At 37.0% G+C, this 21,145-nt stretch overlaps 1 protein-coding gene across 21 annotated transcripts in view, besides 2 other annotated features; it reads left to right on the top strand.

Moving 5' to 3' along the window:
- The first annotated feature begins 660 nt into the window (after positions 1-660).
- MMS22L (MMS22 like, DNA repair protein) overlaps positions 661-21,145 on the top strand; it is a 141,875-nt gene continuing 121,390 nt past the window's right edge. For 8 of the 21 annotated variants that reach the window (XR_942376.2, XM_047418577.1, NM_001350599.2 and 5 more), the window contains exons 1-8: positions 1,480-1,600; positions 2,143-2,382; positions 3,334-3,459; positions 5,798-5,847; positions 11,634-11,721; positions 11,815-11,992; positions 14,704-14,794; positions 16,694-16,824. Coding sequence is in view for 19 of the 21 variants with exons in the window: in XM_047418577.1 (XP_047274533.1) it covers positions 2,219-2,382; positions 3,334-3,459; positions 5,798-5,847; positions 11,634-11,721; positions 11,815-11,992; positions 14,704-14,794; positions 16,694-16,824 (828 nt within the window). In the remaining 2 variants the exon portion in view is untranslated. Of the gene's footprint in view, positions 1,345-1,479; positions 1,710-2,142; positions 2,383-3,333; positions 3,460-5,797; positions 5,848-11,633; positions 11,722-11,814; positions 11,993-14,412; positions 14,590-14,703; positions 14,795-16,693; positions 16,825-21,145 lie in introns of those variants that run through there. The other 13 variants (XM_047418579.1, XM_047418574.1, XM_047418576.1 and 10 more) reach the window with 7 other exon arrangements.
- Positions 1,204-1,263: an enhancer, noted in NCBI's record as "active region_24849". NCBI's record gives its function as "activates an Ori minimal core promoter by ATAC-STARR-seq in GM12878 lymphoblastoid cells {active_cell/tissue: GM12878}" and the evidence as "EXISTENCE:reporter gene assay evidence [ECO:0000049][PMID:35858748]".
- Positions 1,644-1,903: an enhancer, noted in NCBI's record as "active region_24848". NCBI's record gives its function as "activates an Ori minimal core promoter by ATAC-STARR-seq in GM12878 lymphoblastoid cells {active_cell/tissue: GM12878}" and the evidence as "EXISTENCE:reporter gene assay evidence [ECO:0000049][PMID:35858748]".

Genomic DNA, 21,145 nt, shown 5'->3' with positions numbered 1-21,145 from the left:
TGAGCACCACCACGCCTGGCTAATATTTGTATTTTTTTTGTGGAGACAAGGGACAGGGTTTCACCATGTTGCCCAGGCTGGTCTGGAACTCCTGGTCTCAAGGGATCCACCTACTTCAGCCTCCCAAAGCCACTGTGCCTGCCCTGGCCTGAAGTTTTCTTGTAAGAAGTGGTGTGTGTGTGTGTGTGTGTGTGTGTGTGTGTGTGTGTGTGCAGAGAGAGAGGAGGGAGGCTTAACCAAAGATTCTGAGTACTACGATAAATACAGAGATACTCAAATTTTCTTCTTTTGTTGATTTTTGACAGTTTGCGTCTTTTAAGGAATTTGTCCATTTCACCTATGCTTATTGGCATAAAAATGTTCATAATGTTCTTTTAATATCCTTGTCCTTTTAATGACTAAATTTCATAGTGATGAAACCTTTTTAATTCCTGATACTGATAATTTGTTTATTTTCTTTATCAGTTTGGGTAGGGGGGTTATCAATTATATTGCTCTTTTAGAAAAACAACTTTTGCATGTATTTCCTTCCATTTATTTCATCCCATTTATTTCTACTATTTATCATTTCATTCATTTTGCTTGCTTTGGTTTCAATATGCTGGGGGTTTTTTCTAGTTACTTAAGACAAAAGTTTATTGAATTGAGTTCTTCTTTTTAATGTAAGCAGGTACTGTTACAAATTTTAGTGTTTTCATTTTAATTTAATTCAACGTATTTTCTAATTTTCCTGTGATTTTTCCTGATTCACAGGTTAGTTAGAAGTATGATTCTTAATTTCCAAATATTTAGAGTATTTCAAGTATCTACTTTATTTCTAGTTTAATGCCATTATGATCAGACTATACACTTTGTACGATTTAAATCTTTTTAAAGTTGATGACATTTGTTTTATGGCTCGGAATATGGTATCGCTTAGTGAATGTTTCATGTGCACTTGACAGGAGTGTGTATTCTGCTATTGTTGGGTTGGTCACCTATAAACGTCAATTAGGTCAAGTTGGTTAGTGCTTTCCAAGTTTTCCATATCCATACTAATTTTCTGTCTACTTGTTCCATCTGTTACAGAGAAAATTAATTGTTGCACTTGCCTGCCTCACAGTCCATGGACAAAAGGCATCTGCATTCTAACAAGAGTTGCTGGCCCCAGAGCGGGAAGAGGGGACGGCGCGACTGTGGGTGTGAACGAGGCACTCACTTCGCACTCACTGGAGTAAATATCTTCTCTTTGGTCCGGCCAGAGGATAAACCCATAGTCCTTAAGTCCTCTCCTCCGCCTCAGCAGCAGTTCTGTTTTTTTTTTTTTACCAGGCCCCGCCTTTCAGCCGAACGCACCAATTAAAGGTACAAAAAAAAAAGTTTCTCAGTACCTCGTCCCGGACTGACGGACTCTCGCGAGAATTCGTGGGGCTCCGACTGTTTCCGCGCAGATATCGCGAGGCGATTGGTAGCCGGGGGAGGGCTGCGCCGTGGCCCCGCCTTTCCGGAGCGCGGGCGCGCGGTGGCGGGAATTTCGCCTGTTTGCGGTTTAGACCCCAAAGATTCCTGTTGGTGGTCTGGGTCACAGGAGGCAGGTTTCGGGAGCTGGAAATGTGAGCGGGTACGACAGGCACCGCGGGTAACCGACGCCCCGGGTCCTTGCTGCAGCCGGGTACGCGGGATACCGGCACCCCGCCTTCTCCGCCCGAGTGCTGCCAGGCGTGGGCCTGGTGGGTCTCGCCTCCTCCTTGGAGGGTCGGGGTTGGCCCTAGGGGTTGCTTTCCTAATTTCCACCCCGAGCCGGGGAGGGAGCGTTCTCCACCCTGCTGCTGGGAAACGGGCGGAGAGTGGTTTAGAAACGTTGCGGAGGGCGCAGTTCTAGGCAAGCCCGGGACGCTATGTCCTGCAGACATTTCTTTGCTTTTCACCTTGTCCTGGGCTGCAGAGCCCGACTTAGTGGCCGGATTTCGAGGTCCCTGCCACAGCCAGTTGGTTGTGCATTTTGTCTTAAGTTCTGACAGCCTTGATGGACGGAGGGCGAGGGGGAATTGGGAATTTGGCCTCTGGGTTTGTTCGTTTGTTTTTCCTTCCTGCTGGCGGACGTCTTGAGAACTTTCTGAAGTAATCCCCACTCTCTCGGCCCCACCCCCCCCCCCCCAACAGGAATCTCTTCACACCTTCTCTTTGGAGCCCTTAATGATACGACGAACCCCAAGTGTTTCAGAACATGAAGTAAACAATGGAGAACTGTTCTGCTGCATCGACGTTCCTGACTGACAGCTTAGAGCTGGAGCTGGGGACGGAATGGTGCAAACCTCCTTACTTTTCTTGTGCTGTTGACAACAGAGGAGGAGGAAAACATTTTTCTGGAGAATCCTACCTCTGCAGCGGAGCCCTTAAGCGGTAGGTAAAACTCAGAGACATTTTCCCTCATCTGATTATTCACCAGTTTTTTAGGAATGTTAGTTATTTCAGCCCATTAAACTTTGGTGTTCACCAAGTCGTGTTTTATAAATCAGCTTAGTATATCATAAGGGTACAAATGATTATCAGTTCTGCTGGCTTCTTGGTAAGGGCATATCTAAAGTATTTGGGGTATTAGGGAAAACTTCCTTGGTAACTGATGTTCCCTTACTGTAGGGAGCTGGGCACTAATTTTTCTTCTACTTAAAATGAATTCCTAACTATCTGAGCCTTTTGCAGTAGTATTTCCTTCTAAAGAGTGTGATAATATTCTAGAGCTTTCCAGTAATATTTAAGAGAGACAAACATTTTTTATTGCCCCTGTTCCTTCTAATCCTACCTGCACATATAGAAGTGTATAGACTTATTTTGCCTTGGGCAGGTACATATATATTACAGTAAAACTGTTCTTGAAATATTTTGGTAATACCTGCTGAGGCAGTTTCAGTGAGGAAACTATTTTTGTTGACCTTATAGTTGTACCTTGTTAGAAATCTTAAATAGAATACTCAACTTCATTAGTTGGATACTATTCTCCAGACATGGCTCAGAATAACTGTTAGCAGTTTTAAAATTAAATGTCCCCTCAAAGGATGAAATTCTACAACTGAAGACTACTGGTGAAGACAGGCAGAAATATGTTTTTTAGAATTCTTGTTGATTTTTCCTCTTAAGTTACATTACACTTTAGTCGTACATTTTATCAATATAGAAGATTGACGTTTTAATACAGTCTAGCTATTGTAATCTTGAATGTGTAAAGTACCAAGGCATTTTCTGACTTTTTATACATGTCATGTATAATATGGATTCAAATAATGTAAAGAAAAGAGCCGTCGTATTATGGTACTTAGTATACTTTTTATGAGATTGAAACAATTTTCATTTCAGATTGATTTTGAATCTTGACCCTTTACCAACTAATTTTGAAGAAGATACCTTGGAAATATTTGGCATTCAGTGGGTTACTGAAACAGCATTAGTGAATTCATCTAGAGAACTCTTTCATTTATTCAGGTATTTCTTCGTTATAACTTTCTGTGAGTGTAGGTGTTGTTCACTTTTGTAAATTACGTTGTTGGGTGGCTTCTAATACTGATATTACAAAAGACCAGAGGAATTGTGCTGGTTGCTCACTTGATTATCTTACCAGTAACAATAATCAAGCAGCAATGCCTGATGAGTAATGGTTTTAATGAGTTGCGTTTTCAGAATCTTTATTCTTTGCATTTGACACATGTATTGACAAATATTTAAGGCTTTGAACTATAATTTTTAGAAGAAAATTAAAATATTTTTGTTGTGCAATAGCCATAGTCTTTCAGTGATCTTTAGAGTATGGTCTTAACAAATAAATTGTTTAGACTGTGTAATAGAAATATTAATTATTTGGACAACATTTAAAATTTTTTTAATGAAAAATTTTAAGCATACACAAAATAATAATATAATGAACATCCATATACCCTCCTTCAGTTGCAGTAAACAACAACTTTTTATTACATTTCCTTCATCTGTCTTGTCTCCTCTTCTTTTGGCCTAAGTATTTGTAAGGAAATCCTAGGCATCATGTCGTTTCACCCATAAATACTTCAGTATGAATTTCTTAAAAATATGTGCTTTTTAAAAACGATGAGGACGGCCAGGCGCGGTGGCTCATGCTTGTAATCCCAGCACTTTGGGAGGCCGAGGCGGGAGTTCGAGACCAGCCTGACCAACATGGTGAAGCCCCTTCTGTACTAAAAATACAAAAATTAGCCAGGCGTGATGGCATGCGTCTGTAATCCCAGCTACTCAGGAGGCTGAGGCAGGAGAACTGCTTGAACCCAGGAGGCGGAGGTTGCAGTGATTTGAGATTGCCCACTGTACTCCAGCCTGGGTGACAGAGCGAGACTCTGTCTCAAAAAAAAAACTCATCTCAATTAATAAAAATTAAAGTTCTTCATTATCATTTAAGACACAGTTCATATTCAGATTTTAGGTAATTTTAAACAGGAGTCAGTTATTGAAAGCTAATTATTCCAAAACACAGTAAAAATCTATATGTGATACATTTAAAGGAAAATGGAGAGGTGGAAGGAATTCTCTCACCATCATCCCATGAAACCTTTTGAAGAGACTTAAACTGTATCTACGCCATGTCATACGTTTTATTGATAGAACAGGCTCAGTGAGTGATCCTCTGTAATCCTGAAGATTACAGAATGAGCGAGTCTTTATCTAGGACATAGGTTATAAATATGGGTTAATTTTTAAAGACTTTGAAATCAACTAGGAAGAATAGCAAGAAATTGCTATCAGGAATTAAGATGGAACATGATAAATAACAGCTTTCCCTGATACTTTAGTCTACATTATTCCTTTTTTGAACTTCTATTGTATAACTGTATGATACAGTTTAAAATTTTATTATGTAACTGTTAACCTAGAATGTTTTATGTATCTTAAACTTCTTTTTTTTTTTTTTTGAGAGGGTGTCTCACACTGTCACCCTGGCTGGAGTGCAGTGGGGTGATCTTGGCTCACTGCAACTTCCGCCTCCCGAGTTTAAGCGCTTCTTTGCCTCAGCTTCCCGAGTAGCTCGGATTACAGGGTCCCCCCACCACGCCCGGCTAATTTTTGTGTATTTTTAGTAGAGATGGGGTCTCACCATGCTGGCCAGGCTGGTCTTGAATTCCTGACCTCAGGTGTTCCACCTGCCTTGGCCTCCCAAAGTGCTAGGATTACAGGCGGGAGCCACTGCACCCCATCTTAAACTTCTTTTTTTTTTGAGACGAAGTCTTGCTCTGTTGCCCAGGCTGGAGTGCAGTGGTGCGATCTCTGCTTACTGCAAGCTCCAGCTCCTGGGTTCACACCATTCTCCTGCCTCAGCCTCCCGAGTAGCTGGGACTACAGGCGTCCGCCACCATGCCGGGCTAATTTTTTCGTATTTTTAGTAGAGACGGGGTTTCACCATGTTTGCCAGGATGGTCACGATCTCCTGACCTCGTAATCCGCCCGCCTCGGCCTCCCAAAGTGCTGGGATTACAGGCAAGAGCCACCACACCCGGCCGTAAACTTAAAGATATAAACAGTATCTTGCTGATGGTGAAGGCTATGGTATTTGAAATAATTTTTGAGATATATGCAGTCTTTAATAGATAATTTTGGAAGGTCAGGCAAAGATGTATTTTATCTTTTCTTAAAGTTTTCATTACCTGAAGCTGATCCTTTAATTAACATTCACAAGGTATTAATCATCATCCCCAAATTAAAGAGGTATTGAAGCTGTGTAATTTGGAAACATTGTCCACGTAATTGTTACATGCTTTAAAGTGTTCTAAAATTAACTCTCACCTTACATTTTTAAAATTAGGCAACAACTGTACAACTTGGAAACCTTGTTACAGTCCAGTTGTGATTTTGGTAAGTTTAAGGTGTGTTTAATGCAAAAGGGAATGGTGCTTCATTATAGTGAGTTGCACATGGGTCCATGATGGTATAATTGGCATATCATGATAATACAGAGGAAGCATTAGGCCAGAAGTTTACGAATTTAGTGTTCAGAAAAGTATGACTTTTTAAATTTTGTTGTAGCTGAGATATATAGTATTTTCCCAAATCTGTAGATTTTAAAGGTAAAACCGACTTAAGCTAAAATTCTCTGAAGAGAATTAGTACTTGTTTTGGAGGTAGGGAGTGGGATAGAGAACTTAAATGAGAACTAAACAGTGCCAGACCTCATGCTGTCTTCTTGATTTTCTTTTCTGCTTTCTGCTTTTGTGTTTGCTTTTGGTGTGTGATGGATTACTGATTTTTTTTTCTTTTGTTTAGATTGGTATAGTTGGTTTTTTTTTGCTTTTTTTTTTTTTGATAGGGAGTTCTGCTCTTTTGTCCAGGCTGGAGTGCAAAGGTGCCATCTCAGCTCACTGTAACCTCTGCCCCCCGGGTTCAAGTGATTCTCCTGCCTCAGCCTCCCGAGTAGCTGGGATTATAGGCACCTGCCACCACCCCCAGCTAATTTTTATATTTTTAGTAGAGATGGGATTTTGCCATTTTGGCCAGGCTGATCGCAAACTCCTGACCTCAAGTGATCCCCTGCCTTGGCCTCCTGAAGTGCTAGGATTACAGGCATGAGCCACCGCATGTATAGCTAAGGTAATAAAGGGAATTGAAGGGCAGTGTGTTTTAGTGCAGTCTGGCTGCTTCTCCTTTCTAGTAATTTTGGTGCAGTGCAGTGTTTAGAATCATGGCCTTGTCACCCTGGCTTCCAACCCTAGCTAATTGTGGGTCTTACGTCAAGTAATAGTTCTAACTTTGTTGAGCGTGTTAAGTGCTTAACACAGTGTCTACCATTATTGATGCCTAGCAACCAAAGACTACCTGGAACACTTTTGGTCAAACAGAGGTTTATTAGATTATGAAAAAAGGAAAAATACACATTACAAGGAAAAGCTGGGGCTTGTCAGTAAGAGGGAGTAGGAAGGGACTTGTGATATGTTTGGGGCTCATTCTGGTGATTTTCCGTAGGGCTTAAGGGGGATAAGGCTATATTCTGGATTGGATGCTGTTAATTAGCAGGGGCAATTTGAAGAGTGGGTATTTTAATTTTTATCTAGGAGGTGAGACAAACAAAGGGAGCATCCTAATTAGTAAAAAAGTATTGTCCTGGTCACTGGAAGAGGGAGGATGTGTTTTTTTGTTCATTTTGTGTGTGTGTGTGTGTTTTGTTTGGAGTGTGTGTGATTGCATAGTGCCATGTTTTGTATTCAGACATGGTTACAGAGGTTTTGTTTTTGTCTTGTTTCACTGTAATGGAGTGGCCCTGTATCATTATTATTTATTATTATTATTATTTTTTGAGATGGAGTCTCGCTCTGTCACCCAGGCTGGAGTGCAGTGGCATGATTTTGGCCCACTGCAACCTCCAGCCCCCTGGGTTCAAGCAATTCTCCTGCCTCAGCCTCCTGAGTAGCTGGGATTACAGGCGCACACCACCACACCTGGATAATTTTTGTATTTTTGGTGGAGATGGGGTTTCACCATGTTGGTCAGGCTGGTGTCGAACTCCTGACCTTGTGATCCACCCACCTCGGCCTCCCAAAGCGCTGGGATTACAGGCGTGAGCCACCGTGCCTGGACTATTTTTTATGTTTTATGAAAATTGTTTATTTTCAGTAGGGGATACCATGGCCTAGCTGTTAGCTATCAGCTTTTAGGCTGTTTTATATTTTTTGTTTTCTTAATATGTTACGTGATTTGTAAATGTTAAGTATTATTGTTTCATTATCATCTGATGGGTCCCTGGTTCATGCCAGGTACTTTGCAAGGTACTGACGAATCAAAGAGGAAAAATATGCTGCTGATGAGTTTGCAGTTGTGTAGACAGCTAGACATGCAAGCATACATCAGCTTGGTAAATGAAAAGGTACGGTGATAAAGGAATGTACAAGCTGCTGTGGAAGCCAAGGGCTTTGTCTATCTGTGAGCTCCTCACTAAATGATGCCAGATCTGGGTCTTCACAGATGGGAAGAAATTAGCTAGGCAAAAGATTTGGGAAAAGTTTTTCGGACAGGAAGAATTCCAGGCAGAAAAAAATAAAACTGTATAAACAAAGACGTGATGTGTGTAAAAACATAAAAGTTTAGAGAGCATGGATTAAATATTAATTACATATGGTTGGATCAGAATGTGTGTGAGTGATGAATTTGGAAGGGATAAAAGCAGAGTTGGCTTTGTAAACCATGACAGAGAGTATGATTTTTATTTTGGAACTCCTGTGGAGCCACTAAAAGATTATAGTGGAAAGAACCAAAATACCTTTACCTTTACGTAGAATAACTTAAGTAAATTGGGTTCATGGAAGGCATTTATTATGATAGATTATTATTATTACACTTATTAACCTGAAACCACTGCAGTGGACTATTTGTTAAGATGGTTGTTTGTTACACTGACATTTTGGCTGTTTTTGTTGCTTAAAAAAGCTTTTAATGACAGATTTTGGACAAGTTAGTGGTGTTAAATATTATCCATACATGAACATGTCCCTGCCATGTAGCTGTGTTCATTAACTTGTGTAGCTACCCTTGGACCTCAGCTGTGCCAAGAAGTCCCTATGTAGTTACTTACTGCCAGATGAGTATAGTTCTTGTTCTAGCCATTATGCTTCCAGGGTTAATTTCCAGTTGAGGCAGAATAACATACTTAATGACATGTTTTGCTGACAGCTGTTTTTTTTCTCTCTTTCCGTCTCTTTGTCTCTGTCTCAAGACAGGGTCTCACTCCATCGCCCAGGCTGGAGTGCAGTGGTGCGATCATGACTCACTTCAGCCTTGACCTCCTGGGCTCAAGCAGATCCTCCCATCTCAGCTTCCCAAGTAGCTGAGACTACAGGCTCACGCCATCATGCCTGACTAAAATTAATTTTTTGTAGAGATAAGGTCTCACTATGTTGCCAAGACTGGTCTCAAACTTCTGGGCTCAAGTGATCCTCCCGCCTTGGCCTCCTAAAGTGCTAGCATTATAGGTATCACCCACCACACTCAGCCAAGAGCTATTCTTAAATATAATTGTTGGTGTTACCCTGTCTCAGCTATTGTGTGTGTGTTTTTTTTCTCTAGACATTCCTTATGGATTTTTTAAAATGTCTTCTGTTTCTGACTTCATGCTTGTTTTCATCCATCTTGAATATATGGAGTATACATTATAACCACTGTTGTTGCTGCTATTAATAATTCTTCTTTTTGAGAGGGCATCTTGCTCTGTCACCAGGCTGGAGTGCAGTGGCGCCATCTCGGCTTACTGCAACCTCTGACTCCCTGGTTCAAGCAATTTTCCTGCCTCAGCCTCCCGAGTAGCTGGGATTACAGGCACACGCCACCATGCCTAGCTAATTTTTGTATTTTTAGTAGAGACAGGGTTTCATCATGTTGGCCAGGATGATCTTGATCTCCTGACCTCGTGATTCGCCTGCCTCAGCCTCCCAAAGTGCTGGGATTACAGGCGTGAGCCACCATGCCCGGCCAATAATTCTTTTATCACTGTCATTTCTGAAACTATTTGTATTGATTAGTTTTTCTCCTGATTCTGTGATATATTTTTCTGCTTCTTTGAATATATAGTAATGTTTTATTGTTAGATGAACATTGTGGGTTTCACATTGTTGCTTTCTGGATTTTTATTCCTTAAACTAGATGTTGAATTTTGTTATGGGTCGCTATTGTGTAGTTGTAATCCACTGGTTCTTCTTGAGGCTTGTTTTAAATTTTGGTAGGACTTTTAAAAAGCAGCCTTTAATGTTAACTTAGCCTAGTAAATTAGTCTAGTAAGGCTTTGAGAATTCTTTCTCGTGCGTAGTCTATTATGAGATTTTTTTTCATGCTTGCTGGTGAGAACTTGAACTATTCCCTGGCTTGTGTACTCTTTATAGGGAATTGTTTTCTGGTGTTTTTCCCTGGCGTTGGGTAATATTTTTCATGCTTGAACAGATCGATACTTAAATCTCAGAGGGACACTTCTGTACCCTTCCAGAACTCTATTTTGTATAGCTTCTTTCTTCTTGGGTACTTTTGCCCTGCAAATTTGGACTTCCCTAAACTTGGATCCCATATCTCCTCATCTCAAAGAGTGAGTTGGGCTGTATTTGGGTTCTCTTCCTCATATTGAAGCCTGGAAACTGTCTCTAGGTGGGGAGCTGGTACAGTTGTAGGGCTCAGTTTCTCTCTGGGAGAGCAATCTTATATTGTCTTGTGTCCAGAGCCTGAAAACTTGCTTGACGTAATTTTTATGGTTTTCAGCTTTACAGTGGGAGATGGAGCAATCTGATTATTTTACTCCGTCTTGCCTGGATGCAGATGTTCACTGCAGTTATTTTTAAGAGAGTACTGCCTTAATGGGCCGAGAATTGTGAAAATTGGGATGATATGACTTTTTATGGGTGAAATAAAGCCATAAAAATGCAGTTTAATATGGAGGTATTTACACAACTGCTTCACACTTATGCTTCTATTCTGCCACAGTAGTGGCATGATTGTTCATTTGAATTAAACTTTAGTTTCATGTTTAGTATGGCTGTAAATTTGTAGCCTATAATTCTCATCATGTTTTCTTTGCTTTTGTTTACTAGATTGTCTCTTACTCATTCTCTATATAATGATTATTAGTGTTTTGCCCATAGTAACTACCTAGATAATTATTGCTGATATAAATGCTGAAGTAAGTGAGGGAAAGCTGACATGGAGTGAGGTTGGGAGAAAGGCAGCAACTATTAAAAGGTCGTTCAGAGCTTTATAAATTATTATTAGGAGTTTTGATTTTATTCTAAATATAATAGGTATTCTTTCAAGAGTTTTGACTTGGGAACAAGATAAATTGATATACATTTTAAGCAGATTTTTTACTTAGTGTATAGGGGGACAAAAGAGAGCATGGAAAGACCTGTGAAGAGTGCTATTGTGGTGGTTTAAGTGTTTATAGGGAAAATGGATAGTTTCAATGTATATTTGGTTATTAACTTAATAGGACTCTGAAGGATTAGATACGAGGTTAAAGGAAATGCAAGAATCAAGAACCATATAGGCTACTGGTGGCACCATTTTATGAAAGGCTGAAAACAAGGACAGCATCAACAGGTTTTGAAAGAAATCAAAGGAGGTATTATTTGCACTGTCTGAGCAATCCAAGTATAGGTGTTAGGCAGTTTAACACGGAAGGTCTGGAGTGCAAAGGAGAGATGGGGTTGTAGATAACCCTTTTAGAGTCATTATCATTTATTAATAAAGGAACTGATGAGATCATACATATGGGAAGAGATATACAGAGAGTAGAGGATTCAGGACTGAGTCTTGAAGAGACCATATTAATAATAGAATTGAGGAGGAGGAGCCAATAAAAGAGGTAGGACAAAGGATACATGAGGAAGAAAGAAGACTCATTATCTGGCACCATGAAGCCAGGTGTAGCTAGTGCTACTGTGGGAGCAAGTTACTTGAGGGTAGGCACTGTCTATTAGATTGGGCAATGTGGGTGTGATTGGTGACTTTAATAAGAGCATTTTTTGAGGAGTAGCGGGGAGCAAGAACCATAAGAGAATGTTTAATATAAAATGTTACAAGATAGAGAATTGCTGCCGGTATGGCTTACAACATTTTTTGTCACTGCCCATGATAATTATTTGAACTATGATTAACATTGTCTATTTTGGTTTCAGGGAAGGTATCAACTCTACACTGCAAAGCAGACAATATTAGGCAGCAGTGTGTACTATTTCTCCATTATGTTAAAGTTTTCATCTTCAGGTAGGATATCAGATGAGTATTTTGATCACTGCATGAATTTCTGTGTGTATTCACACAGACTCTAGTTGTTTATTTTATCTAATTATTTTTTAGGTATCTGAAAGTACAGAATGCTGAGAGTCATGTTCCTGTCCATCCTTATGAGGCTTTGGAGGCTCAGCTTCCCTCAGTGTTGATTGATGAGCTTCATGGATTACTCTTGTATATTGGACACCTATCTGAACTTCCCAGTGTTAATATAGGAGCATTTGTAAATCAAAACCAGATTAAGGTTTGACTTGTTTCATTTGATTTTTAAATTATCAGCTTTTTCTCCCCACAAGGAGTATTCATTCAAGAAGGAGAGAAATTAGTCAGAATTACAGCTCTGGAACCTGACTGCCTGAGTTGAAATTCTTGCCCCCCATCCTCCTTTTATTAATTGTGTGCTTTTGGGCAAATGACACCTCAGCCTCCACATCTGTGTAATTCTTACAACTTACCAGAATCATTGGATGAATTAAATAAATTCATATACATGAAGTTATTAAAACATAGTAGTCATTGAATCAGTAGCTATTCTCTTGATTTATGACAGTATAAGTGTCTGAAAATTTTAAAGCAAATGAAATAATCTTTATTTTCTGAAATTTTTATCATATATTACAGTAAGATTCAAGATCAGCTTATAAAAAAAACTTTCAAGACCACATCATTATGTGTATTCTGACTTTTGAGGCCTTTTTGGAATGTGATTAAGATTGTTTTGACTGTGCCCTTTTTTTCCTACCTGTGATAATCATTCCCTCTGAAGTTTGGTTTTTAAAACTTTATATTGTTACCGTGCCTAGCTTATAGATAAGTAATAGATTCTGCCTATGAAAATGGGAGCTTATATGAATAACAAATTATGGTAATTCACAGTGAGATTCCCTGAAGTCTCAACCCCTTTCATTATATTTGACTTTACCGTTTTGAATAATATTTACTCTTTATGAATATATCTTTGTTAAAATATAAAAACGGCTAAGCATGGTAGCTCATGCCTGTAATCCCAACACTTTGGGTGGCTGAGGCAGGAGGATTGTTTGAATCCAGGATTTGAGACCAGCTTGGGCAACATAGCGAGACCCCATTTCTACAAAAAATTAAAAAGTTAGTCCAGTGTGGTGGCACATACCTTGTAGTCCCAGCTACTCAGGTGGTCGAGGTGGGGGGATCCCTTGAACTCAGGAGGTTGAGGCTGTGGTGAGACATGATTGCACCACTGCATTCCAGCCTGGATGACAGAGCAAGACCCTATCTCAAGAAATAAAATAAGTAGAATTAAATGTTTACATATTTCTGTGAAATGAAGCAGAAACAAGTTTTTCATCAGAGATCAATATATGTAATAATAAAAGCAAAGTTCTAACTGAATTTACAAGTTAATATATCTAATCGATAGAAAACAAATAGGTAATTGCTTTTAATTACGTCATTTAATAAAAAGATTCATGAGTAGATTGTTGAGGGAGGGATATTTTCCTTACTAGTTTCTGTAAATTGGACTGGTTTTTATTTTCTGGTTATCCATCAAATATGTAAGAAATAAAAATGAATAATTTATATAGCAGCAGAAATAAAAATTTGTGCACTGGGGTCCTCAAACTAGGTTTTGCCTTTCATAGGCTTTTTAATTAGGCAGACTTGAAAAGATAGGTTATTTGAAGCTCAGAAGACTAAATTTTTAAAGCAGGGGAACTTTACAGTCTTCAAAAAATAAAAAATCACACACTAAAATACTGTTCTTTTCTGAAACAAAAAAGCATAATAAAATAAAAAGCATCTTTCAAGACTTTATATATTTGTTATAACAGTCTTGTATATGAAATGTCTTGTTTTAATTGGTACTTCCAGTTGAGCTTCTTTTATTTTTTAAGAACTCTCTAGGTATATATTAGTTGTTCAGAATTATGTATTGCAAATATTTTCTTTTATTTACTTTTTCATCAAGTAAGCTGACTTTCTAGGTCGATTTGAATTTTTTAGATAGTTATATTTTTCCGTTTTTTGTTTTATCTATGCTGTTAAAATATTTTGATTGTTGCTTTTATTTCTTTAATTCATGTTATTTTTAAACATGCAGTGAGGTGAGAAGTCTAACTTTAGTTTCTTGCAAAGTTAAAAATCTTATTTTTTATTGAATGACCCATACTTTTCCCATCGATTTCAGATGCCACATAAATTTATTTCTGTCTTGTCTGTTCTTGCTGTTTGTTATCTATTTCTGTCCCAATATTGTTTTGTCAGTGTAGCATTTTATTTTGTTTGTATACCTAATAAGGCAGGTCTACTCTTCATCATTCTTTCTATTTGTTTTAATGGAACATGTTATGTCATTGTATTTATTTTTATAGTGATGCTAAATGCTGACAGGAGGAAGGTTATTGATAACCCAGTATAACACAATACTTGAAAGTGCTGGGTTTTGACTCAGGTAGAATTGAGTTTGAATACTAATACATGAATTGAGAGGTAAATTTTTTCACCTCTTTTAACTTCTGTTTCTTAATGAGATGACAATAATGTCTACATGACAGTCTAAAGTTCTTTTGTTAAAATATTTTATAGGAGTTCCTGGGTACTCATACATTAAAAAAAATTTCCTAGCTAAATTCTAAAACAAAATTATGAAAATACGTGTTAAAAAATTCTTTTACTGCCTTGCAGCTGTAGTAGAATCAGAGGTTGGTTGGAAGGTACCTTTACTATACAAGTCTATTCAGCAGCCCCAAGGTGGGTTTGTCTTAAACCAACAGATGAAAATATTTCCTGCTTTCAAAGATCTTCAGTGAAAGAATCCTCTAATGAACAAGACAGAGGTTTTCCCTGAGCTTTTGAATAGTGGTAGGTTAATTGGTTCTTTATCCTTGTGTTTATGGAGGAGTATTGTGACATGCTATGAAATACCTAGTAAAATATTAATGAATTCTCAATCACAGTTGATAATGTCATCCACAGCTTTTTCCACCGTCATGGCATTTATTACATCTCCACTTGGATATACATTGGCTGGTGCTAGAAATTCTTTACATGCTGGGTGAAAAATTGAGTAAGTTTATGGATTTATGATTTATATTCTTTTTAAAATCAGCTTTTATTGCTTTTTAAAATTACATAAGTAATAAGTGCTTTCTGATATTTAAAAAAAAATCAAATAGTAAACAAAGTATGAAGTAAAAGTTTTACTCCTTTCTTTCCAGAGATAACTATTGGGAACAGCTTGGTTTATCTTTCCATATTTACCTTCTATCTGTTAGTATACATATATAGAAACTCATAGGTAAAATTTTGTTTTTGTTTTTAACCACAGATATGATCATCATACTGTTCAGTGTGATCTTTCATTTATCAGTGTTTTAGCGATCTGTTTATGTTAGTACCTATAGTTCTACTTTATCCATTTAAAGGCTGCATGTTATGGTTCTACTATATTTAGCCATGCCTATTTTTAAACATTGAAGTTACTTTCATTTTTTGATTTTACAAATCATTTTTCACTGAACACCCTTGTGTATAGAAATATATCTTTAATCTGCGTACAAGTTATTCTGTAAAATATTCTTAGAAGTAGAGTGGCACATCGTAGTTTTAATATGTATATGCTGCTGTTTTGCTGAATAGTAAGTCCTGCTGATATATAGGCATTAACTGTAGTGTGCCTTTACTTCATACTCTTGCCAGTAGTTGATATTATCAATTATATTTTATTTTTTGCCAGCTAACATGTGAAAAATGAAATGGCTTTTTTTTATCTGCAATTTCTTGGTTACTAGTGAAGTTGAACATCTTTACGTTTTATTGTCTATATTTGCTTTATTAATTACTCATTGTATTTTGCAAATTTTCCTCTTTTTTTAGTAGGAGTTTATACATATTATGGATAAATATCTTTTATCCTTGTGGATATGTTGCCCATTTATTTCTTGATGTTGCTCTTTGGCATTTTTAAGTTCCATTGGCAACCTGTCACTTAGGTTGTAAAGATGTCTGTTACTCCTACACCTGCTTTTCTGTTAATAAATACATACATATATATGTCTATATATGTATATACTTACATATATATGTCTATATAGGTATATACTTACATATATTCATACACAGAAACATATGAAGATGTACACCAGTATATAATTTCCTCTCATGTGGACTCTGTATTTCACATTAATATATTCTTAGAGTAATACTCAAGTGGACTTATTCTGATAAGTAAAAATTTTGGTTATCTATTACCTTGGTTTGCCCTATTTTATGCCATAAAACAATTGCATGGGATCAGTTTATCAGTATTTGTTAAAAAAATAATGTTTTAAAGGCTTTGTTGGTTAGAAATGTGGATGAAGATTTTATGTTGTTCTCTCTCTTTTTTTTTTAAGTTGTGTTGCATTAATGCTTCTTAAAGATAGACTTATTAGGAAAAGAGAAGTTTATTAGATGTTACTTGGAAGAATTAGAAACTTTTGGGCTGGACGTGGTGGCTCACGCCTGTAATCCCAGCACTTTGGGAGGCCAAGGTGGGCAGATCACAAGGTCAGGAGATTGAGACCATCCTGGCTAACACGGTGAAACCCCGTCTCTACTAAAAATACAAAAACAGAATTAGCCAGGTGAGGTGGCGGGTGCCTATAGTCCCAGCTACTTGGGAGGCTGAGGTGGGAGGATGGCCTGAACCTGGGAGGTGGAGCTTGCAGTTATCTGAGATCGCGTCACTGCACTCCAGCCTGGGTGACAGAGACCTCGCCTCAAAAAAAAAAAAAAAAGAAACTTTTGAAGATAATGTTTATCAGTGCTCATATGAGAAGGTTGTCCTCAAATTCATATTTTATTTGCAAAAAAAAATTAAAAACTGTATGTTTTAGTTTTGTTATAATTTAAAGATGTACAGTCACTTTTTCCTTTCTGACTTAGTAAAATCTGTATTTTAAAACTATTTTTATTACATTTTCAGAACAAGTTGTATATGGTCATCAGTTTATGAATCTGGCAAGTGACAATTTAACCAACATCAGCCTATTTGAAGAACATTGTGAAACTCTCCTTTGTGATTTAATAAGCCTGTCACTCAACAGGTACGACAAGGTAATGCTTTAAGAGTTTGTATTTTTGAGACTTAAAGACAGTATTCAGTCCTTAATGCATGTCGTTTAATCTGTAAGAATTTAAACTAAAATGCTTTATATGTTCTAATTTTATATTTAGTTGCTATTATCTGGGAGCTGAAAGGGAAAACAATTTTTATTTAAACATCTAAAAGAGGCTGGAATTGGTATTTTAGAGCTTTTCTTTTTTTCTTTTTTTTTTTTTTTTTAAGAAAAATAGCCTTTTCTATTTTGACAAAAATAAATAAATAAAAATGATGTTTACCGAAATCACTGGAAGCCTAATTTCTATCCAAATAGTAGAGGCCAGCTCTTTAATAATGTATTGTATTACTGTTGTGTAATAATAAAATAAATGCTTACTTAAAGTTACTTTACACATTTTAAGAGAGGATTTTCTTGCTTGTTTTCATAAAAGGTCTCGAATCTGGGTAAAATTATGTGTTTTTATTAAATTATGTTTATCATAGAGTGTTTAATGGAGACAGTGATTTAAAGGTGCTACAGAACATGTTTATTTTTAAGTAGTATAAATGTTTGTAGAGTATTATCTGTTATTTTAGATTACAAGCGTAAAGACTGTTTTTGGGAAATCAAGATTGAGGGAAAAGGAGTTTTATAATTTTTCAAAATTTAGATTTTTTTATGCATTATCAATATTTTTACAATTTAGTGTGTATGTGTATTAGTGGATTAACCAGATATGATAGAATAACTTTTAAATATTTATTTATTTTTGTTAATTGACAAAATTATACATATTTATCATATACATCATGTTTTGATATGTGTATACAGTGTAGAATGGCTAAATATAGCTAATTAGCATATGTATTATCTCACATTCTTATTTTTTGTGTGAGAACACTTAAAATCTATGCTTCTAGTGATTTTCAAGAATACAATATAGTACATTGTTTTTAACTGTAGTCATCATGTTGAGCTTATTCCCTTATCTAACTGAAATTTTATATGCTTTGATCAACATCTACCCCGCCTCCCTCCTAATCCTCCTCACAGCCCTTGGTAAGGATCATCTTACTCTGCTTCTATGAGTTCAGCTTTTTTAGATTCTACATATAAGTGAGATTATGTGTTACTTGTCTTTCTGTGCCTGGCTTATTTCACTTAATTTAATGTCCTCCAGGTTCATCCATATTGTTGCAAATGACAGCATTTCCATCTTCTCAAGGCTGAATAGTAGGGTCATACACTGTGTAACAAAGTTTTAGTCAGTGACAGACCACATATACAAGGTAGCTATACCACATAGCCTAGGTGTGCAGTAGTAGGCTGAAAAAGTTTAAGTACAATAAATCATGTTAGCCTAAAGACGTGCTTCTCAGAACATGTCCTGCTGTTAAGTGACACATGACTGTATTCCATTGTGTATATAAACCACATTTTCTTTATGCATTCATCTGTTGATGGACAATTTGGTTGATTCCATGTCTTGGCTCTTATAAATAATGCTGCAGTGAACATGGGAATGCAGATATCTCTTAAACATACTAATTTCATTTTCTTTGCAAATATACCTAGTAGGATTGCTGGATCATGTGGTAGTTCTATATTTAATTTTGTGAGGAATTTGCATACTGTATTACATGATGGCTGTACCAATTTACATTCTCACCAAACTGTGCAAGGGTTTTCTTGTCACCACTTCCTCTCTGGCGCTTATTATCTTTTGTCTTTTTGGTAATAGCCATTATAACAGGTTTGAGGTGATATCTTATCAAGTTTTAATTTGCATTTCCATAATGAGTAGTGACGTTGAGCATTTTTCATGTACTGCTTGCCCATTTGTATGTCTTCTTTTAAGAAATGTCAGCTAGGCGCGGTGGCTCACGCCTGTAATCCCAGCACTTTGGGAGGCCGAGGCAGGCAGATCACAAGGTCAGGAGATCGAGACCATCCTGGTTAACATGGTGAAACCCGTCTCTACTAAAAATACAAAAAATTAGCCGGGCATGGTGGTGCGTGCCTGTAGTCCCAGCTACTTGGGAGGCTGAGGCGGGAGAATTGCTTGAACCTGGGAGGCGCAGGTTGCAGTGTGCCAATATTGCGATATTGTGCCACTGCACTCCAGCCTGGCAACAGAGAGAGACTCTGCCTCAAAAAAAAAAAAAGAAAAAAGAAAACGTCTGTTTATATTTTTTGCCAATTTTGTAATTGGGTTGTTTTCTTGCTATTGAGTTGTTTGCGTTCCTTATATATTTAAAATACTAACCCCTTATCAGATGTATGGTTTGCAAATATTTTCTTCCATTCTCGAGATTTTCCCTTCATTCCGTTGATTTTTTTTCCTTTGCTTTGCAGATATTTCCTTTTTATTTTGATATAATCCCATTTGTCAGTTTTCATTTTCATGGCTTGTGCTTTTTGGGGTCATATCCAAGAAATCATTTACCAGACCATTGTCATATAGCTTTTCCCCTATGTTTTCTTCTAGTTTTATAGTTTCAGGTCTTACATTTAAGTCTTTAATTTATTTTGAGTTGATTTTTCTGTATGGTGTGAAACAAGGGCCTAAATTCATTCTGTATGTGGATATCCAGTTGTCCCAACCTGTTTATTGAAGAAGCTGTCCTTTCCCCGTGTCATGCTCTTTTCATCATTGTCAAAAATCAATTGTTCTGTTTTGTTCTGTGTCTGTTTGTGTGCTAGCAGCACACTGTTTTGATTACTGTAGCTTTGTAGTATATTTTGAAGTCAGGTAGTGTCATGCCTCGAGCTTTGTTCTTTTTTGCTAAAGATTGCTGGGTCTATTCAGGACCTTTTGTGATTTCCTACCAATTTTAGGATTGTTTTTTCTATTTCTGTAAAAAAGTGTCATTAAATATTTTGGTAGGGATTTCATTGAATCTGTAGGTCACTTTGGGTAGTATGGACATTTTAACAATATTTCTTCCAATCCATGACCACAAGATATTTTTTCTACTTACTTGTGTTGTATTCAGTTTCTTTCATCAGTGTTTTTTATTTTTCAGTGTATAGGCCTTTTACTCTTTGGTTAAATTTATCCCTAAGTATTTTTATTTTTGTAGGTATATACTATATATGGGATTGTTTTATTGATTTCTTTTTTGGATAGTTTGTTGTTATTGTATAGAAATGCTATGGTATTTTGTATGTTGATTTTTGTATCCTGCAACTTTACTGCATTTATTTATTCAAATAATTTTTGGTGATGTCTTTAGAGGTTTCTATATATAAAAGATCATGTTATCTACAAACAGCAACAATTTTAACATTTCTTTCTGTTTAGATGCCTTTTCTTTCTTTTGCATAATTGCTGTGGCTAGGATTTCTAGTAACATCCTAATACTTTTTTTTTAACTTTGTATTAGGTTAGAAAAGTGTACATAACTTACGTAAAATATTGCATACATTATTAATTTAAGAAGCCTAGCTATATTTGCAAATATAGTGTACATTCTGTGCATTATCTAGGGCTGCTGAGGATTTTTTTATTAAAAAAAGGTAGATAATTTAGAAATTACTGAATCTTTATAAATCCCTAATAACTGTATTCATTCTGTCTTGCAAAATTTTTACTCTGTTTACAGTGAATCAAAATTTATTTTCTAATCTTTTCATTAGAAGTCTTTTGTTGTAGATGACTCAGGGCAAAATAAGCAAACTAGCCCTGAGGTGTAATCTAGCCCATTACCTATTTTTGTAAATATAGTTTTACTGGGATATAACCAGGTCCATTTCTCTTACCAGGTATCTGCGGCTGTTGTACTGAAATGGCAGAGTTCAGTAGTTGTGACAGAGACTGTATTGACAACAGACTCTTAAATATGTCCTATCTGGCCCTTTATAGAAAAAGTTTGCTGGCTGGGCGAGGTGGCTCATGCCTGTAATCCTAGCACTTTGGGAGGCCGAGGCGGGTGTATCACGAGGTCAGGAGATCGAGACCATCCTGGCTAACACGGTGAAACCCCGTCTCTACTAAAAGTACAAAAAATTAGCCGGGCGTGGTGGTGGGCGCCTGTAGTCCCAGCTACTTGGGAGGCTGAGGCGGGAGAATGGCGTGAACCTGGGAGGCGGAGCTTGCAGTGAGCCAAGATCGCTCCACTGCACTCCAGCCTGGGTGACAGAGCGAGACTCCATCTCACAAAAAGAAAAAAAAAAGAGAAAGTTTGCTGACCACGGCACTAGATGATTAAAATTTTTTTTTAAGTTGAAATCAAATTAATCTGTGCTTTTTGTTTTAAAATGGAAATTTGTCTTAAAAGTTAAATGAAATTGCACATTTTCAATAAATAATTTTGTCTAATTGAGAATAAATT

The sequence above is a fragment of the Homo sapiens genome, chromosome 6 (genome assembly GCF_000001405.40).
Source record: "Homo sapiens chromosome 6, GRCh38.p14 Primary Assembly".
Classification (NCBI taxonomy): domain Eukaryota; kingdom Metazoa; phylum Chordata; class Mammalia; order Primates; family Hominidae; genus Homo; species Homo sapiens.
Note: the sequence above shows the minus strand (reverse complement) of the source record. Positions and strands in the feature narration are given on the sequence as shown.